Raw genomic sequence first — 20750 nt, forward strand, 5'->3', positions numbered from 1 at the left:
GAACGACTGCTGTACAGATTTAACTAAGATTATATTTAGCATGCATAAGAACACATTCTTTAGTAATTCCAAAATTAGAAAATTAAAGTGTCAATAAAAATCATACAAATATAATTTAGTTAATGTTTATTGAGAACTGACTTACAAGAGGGCTGACCATGAAACACTGAAGCTGAAAGCTCAAGTCTCCTCACTCCCACTGGCCCCTTCTTGGGCCCTGGGATGGGTCCCAGCAATGTGCTGAATGAGCACCTTCAGTAAATAAGATGAGTCATTGTACAAGAACATTTAAATGCCATAAAATCTGACGCCTTATATATGAAAGAAACTTAAGGTTTTCCCAAATTTGAGAGTAGTCCTAAACGTTTACATGGTGTTACCAACAACTAGTTGTGAAGCTTACAAATTTTTTTCTTAGCTATCAATAGTGAAGAACAAATCCCAACCATTCAGGCTGGAGGAATAAGAAAATTGAAAATTATCTTCTATTCTCTCTAGAGATAATGGCATTCCAAAATCATTGTCATATGAAGAAATGATCAGAATATATAGCCTAAAATATGTAGGAAGAAAAATAATGTAACATATCAAACAGATAACAAGTAATCATATTTTATTTTTCTGCATTTTGTGATGTAAGGTTGTCAGTTTCTTAAACATATACTTCCTTGTGTTTTCTTTCATCATTTGAAATCTATACTCACTCTTATATCTGGTACTTTTACATTCTTTTCTTTCTTTTTTTTTTTGAGACGATGTTTCACTCTTGTTGCCCAGGCTAGAGTGCAATGGCGCAATCTCGGCCCACTGCAACCTCCGCCTCCCAGGTTCTAAGGATTCTCCTGCCTCAGCTTGAGTAGCTGGGATTACAGGCATGCACCACCACGCCCAGCTAATTTCGTATTTTTAGTAGGACAGAGTTTCTCCATGTTGGTCGGCTGGTTTCGAACTCCCAACCTCAGGTGGTCTGCCCACCTCGGCCTCCCAAAGTGCTGGGATTACAAGCGTGAGCCACCACGCCTGGCCTTACATTCTTTTCTTAAAGAGGTACCCACCCCTGCCAAATTGAATAGGCTTTCAGGCCACACAAAGCCTGCATCCAACCCTGTGTGTGCCTTCTATATGCTGGGCTCATAGCTTTACACAGACTAGCTCCTCTAGCTCTGCCAATAGCTCTTTGAGGTAGGTACTCTCAGAGGCACGTAATCCAGAGCAACTCCATCATGAATAGGAGCTGGGTAAAATGAGGCTGAGACATACTGAGCGGCATTCCCAGATAGTTAAGGCATTCTAAGTCTCAGGATGAAATGAGAGGTCAGCACAAGATGCAGGTCATAAAAACTCTGCTGATAAAACAGTTTGCATTAAAGAAGCCGGCCAAAACCTGCCAAAACCAAGATGGTGACGAGAGTGACCTCTGGTCGTCCTCACTGCTACACTCCCACCAGCACCATGACAATTTACAAATGCCATGGCAACATCAGGAAGTTACCCTATATGGTCTAAAAAGGGGAGAAATGAATAATCCACATCTTGTTTAGCATCTCATCAAGAAATAACCATAAAAATGAGCAATGAGCAGCACTCAGGGCTGCTCTGCCCATGGAGTAGCCATTCTTTTATTCCTTTTTTTTTTTTTTTTGAGACGGAGTCTTGCTCTGTTGCCCAGGCTAGAGTGCAGTGGTGTGATCTCTGCTCATTGCAAGCTCTGCCTCCCAGGTTCACGCCATTCTCCTGCCTCAGCCTCCAAAGTAGCTGGGATTACAGGCGCCCGCCACCACGCCCGGCTAATTTTTTGTATTTTAGTAGAGACGGGGTTTCACCGTGTTAGCCAGGATGGTCTCAATCTCCTGACGTCGTGATCCACCCGCCTCGGCCTCCCAAAGTGCTGGGATTACAGGCGTGACCCACCGCGTCCAGCCTCCTTTACTTTCTTAATAAACTTGCTTTCACTTTACTCTATGGACTCGCCTTGAATTATTTCTTGTGCCAGATCCAAGAACCCACTCTTGGAGTCTGGATTGGGACCCCTTTCCTGTAACGGTGCTATTATCCCCATATTACCTAGGGGGTACCTGGGCCTCAAGCAGGTTAAAATGACCTGCCATGGTTATCCAGCTAAGAGGCAGACTTGGCACTACTCCCACCAGTGCTGCTTCTTGGCCTGCCTACCCCTACTAAGGCAAGAAAAGGAAAAGACCACCCCTTCTCTGATCTAGGGGTGCTTTCCTGGCCTCTGGCTGCAGCAGCAGCCTCCTGGTAACCTTTATAGGCCTTGGGGATACCAGAATATCTCAAACGCATGGAGCAGAGAGACCCCTATTTCAGTACTGTCAGGCCTCTGAGCCCAAGCCAAGCCATCGCATCCCCTGTGACTTGCACGTATAGGCCCAGATGGCCTGAAGTAACTGAAGAATCACAAAAGAAGTGAATATGCCCTGCCCCACCTTAACTGATGACATTCCACCACAGAAGAAGTGTAAATGGCCGGTTCTTGCCTTAAGTGATGACATTACCTTGTGAAAGTCCTTTTCCTGGCTCAAAAAGCACCCCCACTGAGCACCTTGCGACCCCGACTCCTGCCCGCCAGAGAACAAACGCCCTTTGACTGTAATTTTCCTTTACCTACCCAAATCCTATAAAACGGCCCCACCCTTATCTCCCTTCGCTGACTCTTTTCGGACTCAGCCCACCTGCACCCAGGTGAAATAAACAGCCTTGTTGCTCACACAAAGCCTGTTTGGTGGTCTCTTCACACAGATGCCATGAAAAGTACACTGCAAAGCAGTGCGTTCAACCCCTGTCAACCTGTCAATGGGCAACAGTGGGACTCTGCAGTGGGTTAGTAATAGGCTCTTTTCTTTGATGTTATTTATGGTTTCAGGTGATGCTAACTAGGCTGTAGCAAGGCAGACATGATGGCAATGGTGGGTTCACGTGTCCAAGCCATGAAGAGGGGCTGGATGCTGACCTCTTTAGGAGAGAGGATGGGCACAGGTCTGAATGCACAAAAGGAACCCCTGAATTAAGTATGAGAAAGTGGCCGAGGCTCCGGCTTCCCTTCCTCCCCAACCCTGCCCTTCCCCAAAGTCTTATCTCTCAGCCTTCAGGCCAACTCCCCCAGAGGCCTTTGCACTGTCCCAACCTGCTGGGCCCTTTCCCTCCTCCCTGCCTCGATTCAGAATAACAACAACAACTGCATCTGCATAATGCTTTGTGACTGAAGAACTCCCCAACGACTCCATTCACTAACACCAGTCTCTCCTGGAAAACCCTCCTCCCAATTACCTGAACCCTATGTAACCCATCCTCCCTGCAGAGACCTGAACCTGCTAAATTTTTCATACCATTCACCTTACGTTAAAAAGGATGAAACTGAAAGGTGATTTGTGATTTACCTTCTTGGGGCAGTAATAAGCCGGGGCAAGAGGAACACAGGGAACCAACGGAACACATTGCCTTTATCTTATACTGTTAAAATAGCCTCGCTGATCATTACAGGCGCTCTTAATCACTTTTAGGGTCTAGGCTCTGCCCCAGACACCCTACTAGCTGGAACAGAAAGGGCATCATCCTTCCGCAGGGTTGGACCAAGGGCTACCAGATTGGGGTATGGATATGCAAAGTCCCCAAGAAAGAGACAGAAAGAGCTCAGGTCCAAACCTGCCAAGTGGAATGCATTAACATATCTATGAAATAAAGCGTCCTCTTGAAAGGAGGGAGGGGGGTGGAAGTAGGCAGGAAGTTGGGATCCTGGAGGGTCCCTATGGATTCCACACAGGTGACAGCTCTTCCAAGCCCCACCCAGCACACTGGCAGCATTAACCCTGGCCTTGAGGTTGGGATCTCAGCACCAATGCTGAGTTACACAGGGGGCTGAAACCGGCTGACTTTTTTTTTTTTTTTTTTTTTTGAGATGGAGTTTCCTCTTGTTGCCCGGGCTGGAGTGCAATGGCATGATCTCGGCTCACCGCAACCTCCGCCTCCCAGGTTCAAGCGATTTTCCTGCCTCAGCCTCCCAAGTAGCTGGGATTACAGGCATGCGCCACCACGCTTGGCTAATTTTGTATTTTTAGTAGAGATGGAGTTTCTCCATGTTGGTCAGGCTGGTCTCGAACTCCTGACCTCAGATGATCCATCCACCTCAGCCTCCCAAAGTGCTGGGATTACAGCCGTGAGCCACCGCGCCCGGGTGAAACTGGCTGACCTTTCCAATGACACTCAACATTCAAATCATCCAACCTTCCCTTCCCTTTTCCCACGCTCATCAAGCCACTTTCAGGCAGTAATAGTTGTCACTGTAAATTAATGCACAGGCTTTCTGATTTGCTACACCTGTGTCTGAACTTAGTTAACAGGTTCAATCTTGGGAAACAGGTCTGCTCTCTCGGCTGAAGACAGTGCATGGCAGTGAATGTCACATGCTGAGGTCTCCTATAACTGCACCCAGCGCTGCCACTGGCCAAAATGACTCCTATCTTCTGAGCAAGCTAAACAGGCACAGTCTGCCCAGCAGCTAGTAAGCCTTAGAAATCTTTGCCAAGTGAGAGACTGATGGATGTGCTCTGGGAAACAACGGATCCCTGAGTTGTATGCAGTGTGTCCCCAACATGTCTCCCTTGTGACCACAGCCCATGTCCATGGCCCACGGGATGACTGGCTGTCTACTGCTTGAAGATCTACAACTTCCCAGTTTTACCCCAACCAGCCAGTCTTCACTCCAACCAGCCAGTATTTACTCCAACCAGCCAGTCTTTCCCAGCCATGGATGTAATTTACACATTAGCCTACACCCAACTGGAGGGCCTGCTCAGTGTTCAAACCAAAATGGTGAATGGTCTTAGGTGCTTTCACACTACAGTGCCAGAATACTACAGTTGCAACAGAGACCATATAGCCTGCAAGCCTGAACTATTTATTCTCTGGCCCTTTACAGAAAAGGTTTGCCAACACCTGCTCTAAAGGAGAGAGGATAACAATAGCAGAAGGAAACTTGGGTTCAAGTGCTGTTTCTGCCAACGGCTCAGCAAATTGCAAATAAGCAAAATGGAGCCCAGCAAGTAAAATACTGGTGAGGTCATGCCAGTATTTTCATCTCTCTGCTTCCATTTCATTCATAAAACAGGACTAGTCATGAGTGGTAACTGCATGACAAATAATTAGCTAATACCACAGAATATGCATTTTAAACGTGCAACAGGGAAAACTGGCTATTTGTTTTCTGAAGGGAAAGAGGTCCTCCCTTGGTATAGCCATATTTTATGGCTGGCACAAAAAGTGTTCCTTTTTAGCCAGCTGTACTGTGCATATTGTTTTCATTGGTGTTTATGGAGCCCCTGGGACAGGCAGGGCACTGAGCTGGTTGTAGCCCTCCAGGACATGGGACTTCAGTTAAAGACAATATGTGATAAGGGAAACTGAGCTCATCACCACAGGCTGAGATATTCAAGGAATGTTTTGGTTTTTCAAAAAAGGAAAAATACAAATAGTGCCTGGGAGGAAGGGCAGAACTTCAGAGAAAGGAAAGGGGAGGGGAGAATATTCTACCGTGTTCTTTACTGGCAGGCACAGTAAAACAAAAGCTCAAAGTGAGGAAACCTAAGAGCAGATTCAGAGAACCAAGAAATGGACCAATTCATCTGAGTAGGAGTCCCTCATGGGACTGTCAGGAAAGATGGTTGCAAAGGTAAAGTTGGGGCCGGGCGCAGTGGCTCATGCCTGTAATCCCAGCACTTTGGGAGGCCAAGGTGGGCGGGTCACCTGAGGTCGGGAGTTCAAGACCAGCCTGACCAACATGGAGCAACTCTGTCTCTACTAAAAATACAAAATTAGCTAGGCATGGTGGTGCATGCCTGTAATCCCAGCTACTCAGGAGGCTGAGGCAGGAGAATTGCTTGAACCCAGGAGGTGGAGGTTGCAGTGAGCCAAGATCATGCCATTGCATTCCAGCCTGGGCAACAAGAATGAAACTCTGTCAAAAAAAAAAAAAAAAAAAAAAGCATACTTGGAAGCAGACTATGAAGAAATCCGAAATCTAAACCCATAAGTTTGTATTTTATCCTAGACAATGGGGAGCCATTAAATGTTCCAGAGAAGATGGGAGAGAGAGGTGGAGATGGCATTATGAAAGTGGTATTTTAGAAGATTAATCTGATCATACTATATAACATGAATCTGAAGAAACTGAAATATAGAGGAATTGAAATTGAAACACAGGAAATAGCTGTCATACTGGAACATTCTTTTGATGGGCGGGGGCGGTGGGGAAGAAACCAATTCTTTATTTTAACTTATATTTTCCTCTGTATCCCTAGTATCTCATATGTTTTACTATCTGTTAATCACTGCTAAATAAGCAAAATGGAGCCCAGCAAGTAAAATATTTCACATAAAAAAAAAAAGAAACAACATAGGTCAGGCCTTAGTGTAAGTTATCACTCTTTCAAGAGGTATAGGTTTATAAGGTGTAATAGTTGGCCTTTGATTTCTAATCACAAGTAGGAGAAACGGTTATTATAGTGAGCATGAAGGCGGCTGTATCTCTCTCTGTCAAAACCCAATTTTATCATTTACAACCCCACAGAAAAACAGCTAAAGTAGCTTTCTCTGTATCAGGTTTCATCAGAAATAAGATTTTGCCCTTCCTAAGTCTCTATATTCCGCAGCTTCCCGATGTTCTGTCACTTGATGGATTACAACACCCATCACACATTCCCTAGCTTTAGACATCTGTTTTTATGGCTGCAGTGGAACTTGCTTCTTAGTCTGGGAGGCAGTTCAGAGCAGAGATTTAAAATGTTGCTTCAAGGCCAGGTGCAGTGGCTCACGCCTATAGTCCCGGCACTTTGGGAGGCCGAGGCAGCAGTATCCGTTGAGCCCAGGAGTTCAAGACCAGCCTGGGCAACATAGCAAGACCCCATCTCTACAAAAAAAATACAAAAATTAGCTGGACATGGTAGCACATGCCTGTGATCCCAGCTACTCAGAAGGCTGAAATGGGAGATCGCTTGAGCCCAGGAGGTTGAGGCTGAAGTGGGCCATGATTGAGCCACTGCACTCCTGACTACCTAGGCGACAGAACAAGCAGAACAAGACCCAATCTCAAAAATAAAATAAAATAAAAAAAAGTTGCTTGCAAGCAGACTAGGGTTTGAATTCCAGCCTCTGCTACTCTAGTATCCTCGGGTATACCCGACTTCTGAACTTGAGTTCCCCATCTGTAAAATGGGGATGGTGACTACCTATTTCAAGCAGTGTCATGACCCTTAACTAGGAAAATGTCCCCAAAGTACAGTGTTGGGCACTTGTGTAAGGCTCAATCAATGGAGCTGCTGTCATTTTGTTTGCCTGGGGTGCAGTGAGATTTGGGTAAGCAAGTTAGGCCAGGTACACCAATCATGCCTTGTTTTTATTTGCTGGGCAAGAGGCACTTCCTTAATTTAATTATCATATGGCTAATACAGGAACTCTTTTTCATTTCCCCAGTTGAATACATCACCAGATTCCTGGAGGACCTGGGCCCTGGAGACCAAAAGTGCCCAGGGATTAGGGCTTCAGCAAGGCAGCCTGGCTGCTGTCCTGCCTCCTGGGGAAAACTCCAGGCCTTTTCACACTGCCGTAAAATCCCCCAGGGTCCTCAGAAGAGACCAGAGTTTGAGATCTCAAAACCTGGGCTGGAGGCCACAGAGGTCTCTCCCACACTGTGTGGAGGAAATTCAGCGTGGTCCTCTGACTCATTCAAAGTCTCACCACAAGTTTAAGGAAGATGGCTGAGCATGGTGGCTCACACCTATAACCCCAGCACTTTGGGAGGCCCAGGTGGTGGAATCCCTTGAGCCCAGGAGTTTGAGACCAGCCTGGGCAACATAATGAGACGCTATCACTACAGAAAACTTTAAAAATTAGCCAGGCATGGTGGGGGGTGGCGGGGGTGGAGGACATGCACCTGTAGTCCTAGCTACTTGGAAGGCTGAGGTGGGAGGATCACTTGAGCTTGCAGTGAGCTGTGATTATACCACCGCACTCTAGCCTGGGTAACAGAGCGAGACCCTGCCTCAAAAAAAAAAAAAAAAAAAAAAAATTTTAAGGAAGAGTTGGGTCTAGAACCCAGGTCTGATTCCTTCTTTTTCTCTCCTTCCTAAAAGTCTTTTTTTTTTTTTTTTTTCTTTTTTTTTTGAGACAGAGTCTCACTCTGTTCCCCATGCTGGAGTGCGAAGGCCCAATCTCGGCTCACTGCAACCTCCACCTCCTGGGTTCAAGCGATTCTCCTGCCTCAGCCTCCCGAGTAGCTGGGATTACAGGCATGCGCCACCACGCTCGGCTAATTTTTGTGTTTTTGGTAGAGACGGGGTTTCACCATGTTGGCCAGGCTGGTCTCAAACTCCTGACCTCAAGTGACCCGCCTGTCTTGGCCTCCCAAAATGCTGAGATTACAGGCATGAGCCACTGTACCTGTCCCTAAAAGTCACTTTTTTAAGAAATTACAAAAATCATAATGACCACTGTGGACAACTTAGAAAAGAGTTTTTCTATTTATTTAACAACAATGGAATCACACTGTAAATACACTTAGTACTCCACTTTTTTCTACTTCATATTGTATGAAATTTGTTTCTACAACAACAAAATTGTGAGCTCCATGTGGGCTGAGACCATATCTGCCTTGGTTGTCACTACACACTTTTCACACCTACCAGGTGCCTGGCACATAGTAGGCATTCAATAAACTGCAGAGTGAGTGAATGACCCATGGTTTGGCCACTTGCCACTTTTTGGATATTTAAGTTATTTGCAGTTTTCCACTATTATGAACAAGGCCAAATGAACAGCCAGATTCATTAATATATCTTGTACAGATCTCTATTTCCTTAAAATGAATTCCTGGGCCGGGCACGGTGGCTCATGCCTGTAATTCCAGCACTTTGGGAGGCCAAGGCGGGTGGATCACCTGAGGTCGGGAGTTCGAGACCAGCCTGACTAACATGGAGAAACCCCGTCTCTACTAAAAATACAAAATTAGCCGGGTGTGGTGGCATGCACCTGTAGTCCCAGCTACTGGGGAGGCTGAGGCAGAAGAATCGCTTGATCCCGGGAGGCAGAGGTTGCAGTGAGCCGAGATCGCGCCATTGCACTCCAGCCTGGACAACAAGAGCAAAACTCCGTCACAAAAAGGAAAAAAAAAAAAAACGAATTCCTAAAAGCAGAATTGCTGGGTCCAAGGGTATTCCCGTTGTAATGCCTTGGATACCTGATGCCAAATTGGTCTCTGTAAAGACAATCTTCATTTACTTCCTCCACCAGTCATACAGGAGAGTGAACGCCTAGTTTTCTCCACAGAGATGAGTATGTGAGTTAAGAAGGTGGGCGGCGGGAAGGAACTGTGAAATCCTTCAGCAGGTGTTTTAATGAAAAACTGAGGGCTAGACTCAAAGTTCACTCTGATATCCAGCAACCCCACATAGTATAAAGTGTCTTTCTGAACTTTCACCAGCCCTCCCTCTGACATCCTCTCTGTTGAAAAACACTGTGTGGCACCTAATATTGCCACGAGGAGAAGTACCAACTCCCAGCATCCAAATATATACTCTACTAGGAAACACACCCCATGCCTAGGAGACCGGCAGGCTCCCAAGGGCCGCACAAAAAAACCCAGTCTTTCCACATAAACAGTGACCCACACCAAATCTGGGTCTCTCTGCTACCAAGTCTGTTTTGCTTGACTTGTCTGTAAATATCTGCAGTTGAAAGTCATCATCCGCAGTGGTTTCCTGATGCCTTTCTTCCTTTTTTTTTTTTTTTTTTTTTTGAGACGGAGCTCACACTGTTGCCCAAGCTGGAGTGCAATGGCACCATCTCGGCTCACTGCAACCTCCGCCTCCCAGGTTCAATCGATTCTCCTGCCTCAGCCTCCCAAGTAGCATTAGAGGCACCTGCCAACACGCCCAGCTAATTTTTGTATTTTTAGTAGAGACGGGGTTTCACCATGTTGGTCAGGCTGGTCTCGAACTCCTGACCTCGTGATCCGCCCGCCTCGGCCTCCCAAAGTGCTGGGATTACAGGCGTGAGCCACTGTGCCTGCCGATGCCTTTCTTCTTACATGTACACATTAAAGATATACTGTTAGCCTCAAAACACACTTTTCATATTTGTTTCTTAGAAAAAGTTGGGTTCTTCCTCATATAAAATCAGCTAAATAAATTCCAAATGAATGTATTGATCAAAGAGTTCATATCATTTCTTCCCGCCCCACGCCCACACACACAGGTCAAGGAGGTGATTTGTGGGAAGAAAATGGAGCTCTATAGATCCTGAAGCTTAAAGTTCCCAGCCCAGGATCTGCATAAGGTGGGTGCTCACTGGGAAGTCAGCAGGACCATGTCAGCAAGGAAGAGGCTCGAACACCCACATGCACCCTCCCTGCACCACACCATCCTGTACACAAGGCACTCAGGATACAAACGTGATCACCAGCTTGATCCTCCTCCCCTTTGCCCACTGCTTCTCCCTCTCTCCTCCCACAGGGCTGAGAGTTGATTGCCCTGGGAAATCACTGATTTTTCACAATGACCCTGTCTGACAGGGCAAAAGATGAAAAGTTACTTATATTCTCTACATAAGAAATCCTGGGTGGGGTGCGGTGGCTAACACCTGTATTCTCAGCACTTTGGGAGGTCAAGGCAGGAGGGTGGCTTGAGCCCAGGAGTTCAAGACCAGCCTGGGCAACATCAGGAGACCCCATCTCTAAAAAAAAAATACAAAAACTAGCCAGATGGGGTGGTGCGGCGCCTGTAGTCCCAGCTACTCAGGAGACTGAGGTGGGAGGACCAATTGAGCCTGGGAAGTCAAGGCTGTAGTGAGAGCTGTGATTGCACCACTGCACTCCAGCCTGGGCAACAGAGCAAGAACACTGTCTCAAAAAAAAAAAAGAAAGAAAAGAAATCCTGGATTCAAATCCCACCTCTGTCACAAAATTATTGGGTCAAGGTTACCTTCTGGGTCTTCATTTCTCCATCTTCAAAGTGGGATGATTTCTGCATCTCTCTTGTGTGTTACAGGAACTTTACAAGGAATTAAAGCACAAAAATCTTTCATGTGTTCTGACAGACAAAGTACCCTCTAAATTCAATGTATTCCTTTGTTTTGAGGTCTGCTTTTTGGCTTACTGATTGAACACAGCTCTTCTATCCAAACCTTCCCCATACCTAAGTTTCTGGTGGCAATGCCAGCAGGCTATCTCCTAACCTTCTGAACCATCTGTGATTTCTTAAAAGTCCATATGGCTCTTCAAAATCAATTAATATGAGCTTCCCTTTGCCTTATATCCTCTTCTTATATTTACATACACATACCTACACAATACAGAGGTCCAAATTCTTTTCTTTGTCTCAAACCCCGAGTCTCCAGTACTCAACAGATAAAAATCTCCAAGCCCATGTTCACATTTATCCATGAAAGAAATTTAATAGTTCAACATGTCACACAGCAAGTCAATCAGAGGACTGAGAAATAAACACAGAAGTTCTGAAGTCCATGTTTCCAGTTTTCTTGTGATATGAACAAGACAGAATTTATTTGAGAAGAAAATGCCAAGGTGACATTTGGAATTACCACGTTTTTGGGGGGCAGGAGGCCAACTTATAGGACATTTTGCAATCTCGTTTGGAGCAGTGGGTGAGTAGCTTGCCAGATCCACAACCCCATATGCATACAATTCAGCCAACTCCCCACGGAGGTCTGACAGCTTTGCCCCCCTCCCTCCCTCCTCAACTGAAGGGGAGTTTTCCATCAGGCAGCCTCTAGGAAGGGGGAGCTCATGGGGAGAGCCAGAACACTGCCCTTTTAAAGAAACCCAGTTGGTCTTAGGTCAGATGACTTAAGGGGAAGAGACAATGGGGGCCAGGAGTGGGAGTGGGTGGTTCAGAAAGAAGACAGAGCAGAAGATGAACAAGAGGACATCTCTGTCACTCAAGCCGCACTGGTCAAGCCACCTTGTTCCTAAGCCACTGACAGTGCTGGTGGGACCCACTTGTTGCATGGAGTCAGAGCCAATGGCCCATCCGCTCCATTTTCTACTCTGTAGGGGCAATGACACTGGACCAGTCTGGGCAGTGGAGTCACCCTGCAGCTCTTGACACTCTCTGCTCTTGCAAGTCTGCCTTAGAGCTCCTACCCTTACATGAGCCTTCCCCAATGTTGTTGTACCTGAATCTCTGTCTCCTCTTCTATTAAGACACCAATCATTGGATTTAGGGCAACCTAATCCATGGTGACCTTGTCTTAACTAATTATACATGCAAAAACCCTATTTCCAAATAAGGTCCCATTTCTGAGGTTCCAAGCAGACATGAATTTTGGGGGGACACTATTCAATTCAGTAAAGTTACCTAGTATAAAATGTGCCTCCGTAGAATGCCCCCTTAGCAGATAATATAGGCATGTTAAACACCATGATGGACACCTGGACTTAAGTGTCTTCATCTGCCAACGAGGGGCAGGAATAGCTCTTCTTTAAAGTTCCTTCCAGCTCAGAAAAAAATAACATTCTCGACTTCATCTTTCCTTTTTTTTTTTTTTAGACAGAGTCTCGCCCTGTCGCCCAGGCTGGAGTGCAGTGGCACAATCTCGGCTCACTGTAACATCCGCCTCCAGGGTTCCAGTGATTTTCCTGCCTCAGCCTCCCGGGTAGCTGGGACTACAGGTGCCCACAACCACACCTGGCTAATTTTTTGTATTTTTAGTAGAGACGGGGTTTCACCATGTTAGTCAGGATGGTCTCGATCTCCTGATCTGGTGATCCGCCCACCTCGGCCTCCCTTTGCTCCCTGTGCCTTGCATGGAAATAACTTTCAAGACTTGCCTGTTAAACTAATCTAGGACATGTGGCATGCCACAAAGGCCCCCCAGGGTGAATTCCTTCCTAGGTATCCATGGGACACCTATCCATTGCATAGCCTAGAGGCAACATCCTCCTACCCTTGGTTTAAAGAATAACTGCCTTAGTTTCCCCATCTGCAATCTGTGGGGCAGACCGTGAAGCCGAAGATGTCTCTCAGCGAGAAGTGAGAGGATTCTGCAAGTAGAAATCTCAAGCTAATCGGCAAGGGACAGGAAAGGAAGAAAGAAAAGCCAATGTTGACTGAATACCCCAAATCAGACATACCTTAGCTGTCTCTCATTTTGCTACTGATGTAAGGACACAGATGACACCCAAGGAGGTATGGTAGCCGGGCCCCCTACCATCAATCCAGCCTTGGGGGACATCCAATGTGACTGGTTACAAAGGTAAGGCAAAGACAGTTTGGTAACAAGATGCTCTGAATAACCTGCCTGATTGTCAGGAAATCTAATTCCTCAAACCAGGGCTCTAGCTCTAAAAATGACCGCTGGCTACCTGCCTACGGCCCGTCGGTCAACATTTCTGGAAATGTAGCTTCCGGACCAAGTTAAAATTTACCAAGGCTTTCCTGAGACTGGCCTTTAGATTGATATAATTTCAGTTCTTCGTGTTACGTGTCAGTAACTTGTCACCTTGCAGATGTCAGCTTGAGAACTGGTCAGGATGACAGGGATGCTACCGTGTCTCTGTGTTCATTCTGGAGAATTACTGTAGCTGGAGGGTGACAGCCCCGCAAGTTTAATCTTCATCACCCCTGCCTGCCAGTCGTAACACCTCAGATTCACTTTTTTTATCTTCGACTGTATTCGCTCACTATCCATTTGAAAATTGTTGAAGTCTTGTGTGTATATATACTATATGGTTTCCATTTTAAAAGCTTTTAGAAGATACCAAGTACATTTTTGAATGCTGTCACTCCAGCACTGGTAACGGGGGGCTGCAGTGTTTCCGGAATCATACCGACCCCAGAGGAAGGCACTGCTCCTCTACCTCCTACCCTGTCTCAACATCTCAGCCGCCTGAGTTCACTGTAGCCTCAGGAGAGGACCACATCCCTTGAGTGAGTTCAGGGAGTAAGAAGGAACCACAACCTAAAAGTCCCTACCTGAAGTTCGATCCTTACCCTCTATTCCCTAGGGTCTAAAAACCAGTATCTTACGTTCATACTAGTGTGTCAATGACTGATACCAGGGTCATGCCCTACAACAGGCTGGGGGGAAAGCAGGGACCCTGTGCCCCAGGATGTAAAGGTGTGTAGTCAGGGTGTATCCTACGGGGCAGAAGGACCAGACTCTAAGAACAAGGAGGTCCCTGAACCATCTTCCTAATTTGGTTCTGAATCAAGGGGCATCCCCTAACAAACCTTCCAAGGAAAGATAAGGTATCCACCCTTGGTTTGACTGGTGCCTGAGTGGAGCTGCTGTGGGAAGGTTCCCTCGCCAAGCCCATCCCCATCTCCCCAGCACGCTGGGGAGGGCCGGAATGAGCACAGCTGAGACCGTCATCGACCATCACAGGAGCTGCACTAATGTGGACACAGGAGGTGCAGGCTCATTCTCCCCGGCCAGGTGTCCAGGCTGCGAGGCCATCTGGGTTAGGAAATGCGTGCTCTAAAGCCTGCTGGGGAAAGCCCGTTTTGATGGGAGCTCAGCTTAAAATAGGCCACCTTCAAGAAGTTTCCCCAGCCCTGGCCCATAGTAAGATGGGCCTTGGGAGGAAATTGGCTATTTCCCCTCATGCAGCCCTGAGAAAACTGATGCACCCACCCAACAGCCTAAGGACAGGGGTCCAGAGAAGAAATCAGCCTCAAAAGGAAATGAAGGAAAATGTTAGGAAGGGACGAGACTTTAGTTTCAGGTTTCCAAAAACCTGAACATATAAACCAGAAATCAAAACCTTTCAAAGTGCCTATCTAAAACATAACCACCACAACTTAAACTCCTTGTACTTTGGTGTAAGAGATAACAAACACTTAAAAAATGAACTTAAAGGCCGGGCACGGCAGCTCACGCCAGTAATCCCAGCACTTTGGAAGGCCGAGATGGGCAGATCATCTGAGGTCAGGAGTTCCAGACCAGCCTGGCCAATGTGGTGAAACTCCGTCCCTATTAAAAATAGAAAAATTAGCCTGGCATTGTGGCACATACCTGTAATCCCAGATACTCATGAGGCTGAGGCAGGAGAATCACTTGAACCTGGGAGGCAGAGGTTGCAGCGAGCCGAGACGGCGCCATTGCACTCCAGCTTGGGAGACAAGAGGAAAACTCCGTCTCAAAAAAAAAGAACTAAAAAAAGAACTTAAAATGAACCCAATGATAATGCTGTCTCTTTAAAAATACTTAGCTGCAGGCCAGGCTCGGTGGCTCAAGCCTGTAATCCCAGCACTTTGGGAGGCCGAGGCGGGCAGGTCATGAGGTCAGGAGATTGAGACCATCCTGGCTAACACGGTGAAACCCTGTCTCTACTAAAAATACAAAAAAAAAATTAACCGGGCGTGGTGGCGGGCGCCTGTAGTCCCAGCTACTCGGGAGGCTGAAGCAGGAGAACGGTGTGAACCCGGCAGGCAAAGCTTGCAATGAGCCGAGATCACGCCATTGCACTCCAGCCTGGGCGACACAGCAAGACTCCGTCTCAAAAAAAAAAAAAAAAAAAAGCTGCAGCTTATTTCAAAATTTCCTATGTACCCCATAAATATGTACGACCATCGTGTATCCATAAAATTTAAAAACAAAAATACTTGACCACAAAATTGAAAAGATGGGTAAAAATGCAATGTAGTGAGGAAGTGAAGAAATAGGCACTCTTGTTTTGGTGGGCCCCATCATTTTTAGAGGATATCTGGCAATGTGGATTATAATTTAAAATGCACATCAGCTTTCACCCACCAATTCATCTTGTTAGCATTCATTGCACAGAAATACACTGCTATGGACTGAGGTTTTGTGTCCCCCAAAATTCAGATGTTGAAGCCCTAATCCCCAATGTGAGATGATTTGGAGGAGGGGCTTCTGGGAGATAATTAGGTTTATAAATCAGATCGTGAGGGTGGGGTCCCCAAGATGAAATTAATGCCCTCTTAAGAAGAAGAAGAAGAAGGACTGGTGTGGTGGCTCATGACTACAACCTCAGCACTTTGGGAGGTCGAGGCAAGAGGATCACCTGAGGTCAGGAGTTTGAGACCAGCCTGGCCAACATGGCGAAACCCTGTCTCTTCTAAAAATACAAAAATTAGCCGGGCATGGTGGCACATGCCTGTAATCCCAGCTACTCAAAATGCTGAGGTTTGAGAATCGCTTGAATCCAGGAGGCGGAGGTTGCAGTGAGCCGAGATTGCACCACTGTACTCCAGCCTGGGCAACAGAGTGAGACTCCGTCTCAAAAAAAAAGAAGAGAGACCAGGGTGGCTGTGGCTGTCTGCAAACAAAGAGAGTCCTCGCCAGGAAGCAAAATGGCCAGCACTTTAGTATTGGACCTGCCAGCTTCCAGAACAGTAAGAAAAAAATGTTTATTGTTTAAGCCACCTAGTTTATGGCATTTTGTTATAGCAGCCTGAGCTGACAAAGACATATGCAATTGTGTAAAAAGATGCATGTATAAGGATTATTTCAGATTCATTTGTAACAGAGAAAAACTGGATAAACATTCTCCTGCCTCACTTGTAAAAGAGAAAAACCGGAATAAACTTGTTCTGGTGAATGAGGGATCATTAGCTAAATCCTGGTCCATTCACATAATGGAAACTACAGCTTTTAAAAGAACGAGGTAAACTGAGTTGCTGATAGAAGTGCTTATCATAGCAGGTTTAAAGTCTCCATGATAAGCACTTCTTGATTGGTTAGAATGTTAATGTTCTTTTTAACATTAAACAATAACTTATAATCAGAAGGAAAAAATGAACTCCATCTTCATGTTGTTAATTGTCTTCAAACCCATCCCTAACCCAAGGTCATCCTTATCTCACCCTGGAGAAGGAGAGGGAGTGGGGATATGGTTCCTATATGTTCCAGAGAATAGTGGCTGTTGGCTGTGTATTTAATTCCAGTAATTCCATTGGATAAATGGCACAAAATCCCAACTCTTCAGATAACTCCTCAACTAAAGATACTTTTTGCTTGAGAAGCGGCCAGTGTAATGGACACAATGCAGGAGAGCGACTCAGGAATGTTCGCTCGGGCAGGCTTTCTTCCCGCATTCCAGTTTCCTCATCAGTGAGATTAAAGGCCTGATGAGAATCATCTCCAATGTTCCTTATAGAAGGCCCTGAGCTCTCCCTGCCCGGCCGATATGCCATCGGCATTTGTGGAAATCCTGGAGGACAGACAAGGGCCTGAAGTTGGGAAACAAAGGGAAAAGGAAAATTTGAGAAAAGCTCCGCTAGCATCATCTGGAGTTAGAGTCAGCCAAGGGAAAACCGTCAAAGGGTTTTTGACAAATACAAATACATTTTAGGTTCTCAGCTGCAGAAATGAATGCTGTCATTCGGGGGCTGGTACAGGAACAGGGAAAGGAAGGGGCAGATGTTATCACCATCTAATGGGTGGGGGCAGAGATGTTAAACTTGCTTCAAAGAACAGGTCAGTTCCACGCAAGTTCCACCCTAAATGCCTGCAGCAGCCACTGGAGTAACGCCGAGGGCGCCCACTGGATTAACAACCAGCTGAGTGAGCCGGCCACAGCCACGTAGCAGGCAGTCTCTTTGCAGTATCAGCTTCTTATCTGACAGCAGGGCGGGACCGGACCTGAGGGCTGAGTGGGTGTGGAAGGAAAGCAAGGAGGCAAGAAGGACAGAATCTCAAGGAGACAGCCCACCCTTTGCAACCTGCTCCCAAGTCAGTTTTAAAACTGCAAATTGCCTAACTCCGAAATGGCCCATTCTAGATCTCCTACCGTAATTGTACTTGCCTGTTAATAAATACTGATAAATAATTAAGCTTCCTTAAAGGATCCGAATCTCTACAGTTATATGCCAGATTAAAAAGTAACCACAGGCCAGGCGCGGTGGCTCATGCCTGTAATCCCAGCACTTTGGGAGGCCAAGGCGGGCAGATCACGAGGTCAGGAGTTTGAGACCAGCCTGACCAACATAGTGAAACCCGTGTCTACTAAAAATATAAAAAATTAGCCAGGCATGGTGGCGGATGCCTGTAATCCCAGCTACTCAGGAGGCTGAGGCAGGAGAATTGCTTGAACCTGGGAGGCGGAGGTAGCCGTGAGCCGAGATCACGCCATTGCACTCCAGCCCGGGCAACAGTGTGAGACTCAGTCTCCAAAAAAAAAAAAAAAAAAAACTAACCACAAAAGAGCCCGTGGGCCCTGCAGGTTCAAGGCTTTCATATTAGGGTTTGGCCAACGTGCCCCTACTCTCCTAATTTATGTGGGTATCCCAGGCCCATTTATACCAGGCTGCTGTTGCCTGGTGTAAACTCCAGAAAAGGGAGACCTTGGCTCTGTCTCTCATTATACCCCATGGCATCTCCAGCAATGAGAACAATGCCTGGCACATAGTAGGTGCCCAATAAGTATTTTTTCTAAAATAAATAAATGAGGCCGGGTGCAGTGGCTCATGCCTGTAATCCCAACACTTTGGGAGGCCAAGGTGGCTGGATTGCTTGAGACCAAGAGTTCAAGACCAGCCTGGGCAACATGGCGAAAGCCCATCTCTACTAAAAATACAAAAATTAGCCAGATGTTTGGTGGCGGGAGCCTGTAATCCCACCTACTCGGGAGGCTGAGGCATAAGAATCGCTTGAACCCAGGAAGCAGAGGTTGCAGTGAGCCAAGATCGCACCACTGCACTCCAGCCTGGGTGACAGAGTGAAACGCTGTCGCAAATAAAATAAAATAATAAATAAGTGAATGAAAGATGCAGTGGGAAGAGACTGAGCTGAGAAGCCAGTCAGAGATGGGTTAATTATAGGCTGTGTGGCCCTGGGCAAGTCACTTAACCTTTCTGAGCCCAGGTCCTTTGTCTGTGAAGGGGAATAAAAATAACCACCTCTCCAGGGTATGGGGGAAGACTGGAATGATGTATGGGAAACATTGAATATGAACTACTTATACACGGCAAATGGGAAGTAAATTTGTATCACCGTTATTAATGATTCAGACTCACACTGCAGCCCATGCATGACCTGTAATCACAAGTGTCACACAAAATCACACAATTCAAGTCTACAGCTTGACTCTGGGAGCTACTGGTTAATAAACAACATGGCGATAGCCTCTTTAAATACAATGGTTCTCCTGTCTCTCCATGCAAGCAGCTTTAGTCAGGATATTGTCAGTTGGTGCATTCTTTCTAGAGACCTTCACGGAGTGCCTGTAAAGGTGTGTGAGGCAGAAAGACGCGAAGACCAGCCAAGGAGAACAAGCAGGTGTGCAAGCCATTCTGGTCCAGCTCTGGCCCAAACTGTTGAGGTTTGATTCTGATTGGGCTCCTGATACCTGGACCTGTTTACTAGGAAAATCCAATGAATGCATAGTGGCTGCAAGCATGGAACCCGGAGCCTAATGCTTAGGGACAAATCCTGGCTCCACCACTCTTACCGTATGACCTTGGGCAAGCTACTTAACCACTTTAAACTTCAGGTTCTCATCTGGACAATGGGGGACAACAATAGTACCTACTTGAAGGGAAGAAAGGGAGATTGTATTTCTCCTGCTTTGTGAAAAATCATGGAAATCCATCAGCCCATCTGCAGAAACCCTACCCAGAGGAATCCTCTACATGAAGGCTATCTGTCCCCTGTTCTCCCATTTTCATTAATCATACAATCGTTTGGGAGAAACAAGAAGTGAGCATGGAGCCGGGCGCGGTGGCTCATGCCTGTAATCCCAGCACTTTGGGAGGCTGAGGAGGGTGGATCACCTGAGGTCGGGAGTTCGAGACCAGCCTGACCAACATGGAGAAACCCCATCTCTACTAAAAATAGAAAAAATCAGCTGGGCGTGGTGGCACATGCCTGTAATCCCAGCTACTTGGGAGGCTGAGGCAGGAGAATTGCTTGAACCTGGGAGGTGGAGGTTGCAGTGAGCGGAGGTTGCAGTGAGCCAAGATTGCGCCATCGCACTCCAGCCTGAGCGATAAGAGCGAAACTCCATCTCAAAAAAAAAAAAAAAAAAAAAAAGGAAGTGGGCATGGAGAGTGCTGTGTCTCACCTGCTGAACATTACTCTTGATGTCAGAGTGATCAGGAGATTTGGAGGAAGGAAGGTGACATGGTCAAACATCAGATAAGAGGGAAGAGTGGCTCCCAGCACTTCTCCACCCAGGCCCTCTAAGGCTTTTTCCCCCATAAGAAATATCTGTAGTTTTCAGTGTCTCTTGTCATCCGAATCATTTCCCTTTGCCTTGCCCGGGGCTCTCTGGGCCTTGCAGGCTCGGCTCCCCTTGCCTTATCCTTGTATTAGAAACACACAAGGTGCACTTTTGGAGACAGCCACTTGAGCAGCCCCTCCTTGTGTGTCCTGGACTCTCTGTTAAAGGACTTCATTTCCTGGGATTAGCACATTGTGCTCCCTCAAAACTCAGCATGCGGGTAATCCATGGACGCCAACGGTCTTCATGATGCCCTCTTACCAAGTATTTTACAATGCAGTTCTCAGGAAAATGACCCCATTCCTTCTGTATCTCAGCAGGGAGATACAATGTGAACTGGGAGTTTGGTTATTATGCTTGTGAATAATTTGAGTTTCAACTTGGGTTTCAAGTGCAGCCTTGGCATGCCTGAAAACAAATGATTACCAAAAAGCTATCCAGCTGCCCTCTCAACACTGCAGGCTATTTTGTCGGGGGTGTGGAGCCCTCTCTGCTGGTTCCATGTGAGCCTCAGCAAACAGAGCAATCAAGACCCCCT

The 20750-nt window shown here is 46.5% G+C and overlaps 1 protein-coding gene across 1 annotated transcript in view, besides 5 other annotated features; it reads right to left on the reverse strand.

Annotated features, from left to right (window-relative positions):
* FOXN3 (forkhead box N3) overlaps positions 1-20750 on the reverse strand; it is a 462989-nt gene that overhangs the window by 281855 nt on the left and 160384 nt on the right. The gene's annotated exons all lie outside the window — the stretch shown is intronic.
* Positions 2178-2761: an enhancer, noted in NCBI's record as "OCT4-NANOG-H3K27ac-H3K4me1 hESC enhancer chr14:89906553-89907136 (GRCh37/hg19 assembly coordinates)". NCBI's record gives its function as "activates a minimal SCP1, AML or CMV promoter by ChIP-STARR-seq in naive H9 embryonic stem cells {active_cell/tissue: H9 hESC(naive)}" and the evidence as "EXISTENCE:reporter gene assay evidence [ECO:0000049][PMID:30033119]".
* Positions 3014-3308: an enhancer, noted in NCBI's record as "tiled region #349; K562 Activating non-DNase unmatched - State 22:ReprW". NCBI's record gives its function as "activates a minimal TATA promoter and a strong SV40 promoter by Sharpr-MPRA in K562 cells {active_cell/tissue: K562}" and the evidence as "EXISTENCE:reporter gene assay evidence [ECO:0000049][PMID:27701403]".
* Positions 3014-3308: a silencer, noted in NCBI's record as "tiled region #349; HepG2 Repressive non-DNase unmatched - State 23:Low". NCBI's record gives its function as "represses a minimal TATA promoter and a strong SV40 promoter by Sharpr-MPRA in HepG2 cells {active_cell/tissue: HepG2}" and the evidence as "EXISTENCE:reporter gene assay evidence [ECO:0000049][PMID:27701403]".
* Positions 3348-3931: an enhancer, noted in NCBI's record as "OCT4-NANOG-H3K27ac hESC enhancer chr14:89907723-89908306 (GRCh37/hg19 assembly coordinates)". NCBI's record gives its function as "activates a minimal SCP1, AML or CMV promoter by ChIP-STARR-seq in naive H9 embryonic stem cells {active_cell/tissue: H9 hESC(naive)}" and the evidence as "EXISTENCE:reporter gene assay evidence [ECO:0000049][PMID:30033119]".
* Positions 14891-15791: an enhancer, noted in NCBI's record as "H3K4me1 hESC enhancer chr14:89919266-89920166 (GRCh37/hg19 assembly coordinates)". NCBI's record gives its function as "activates a minimal SCP1, AML or CMV promoter by ChIP-STARR-seq in primed H9 embryonic stem cells {active_cell/tissue: H9 hESC(primed)}" and the evidence as "EXISTENCE:reporter gene assay evidence [ECO:0000049][PMID:30033119]".

Source organism: Homo sapiens, chromosome 14 (assembly GCF_000001405.40).
Source record: "Homo sapiens chromosome 14, GRCh38.p14 Primary Assembly".
Classification (NCBI taxonomy): Eukaryota; Metazoa; Chordata; class Mammalia; order Primates; family Hominidae; genus Homo; species Homo sapiens.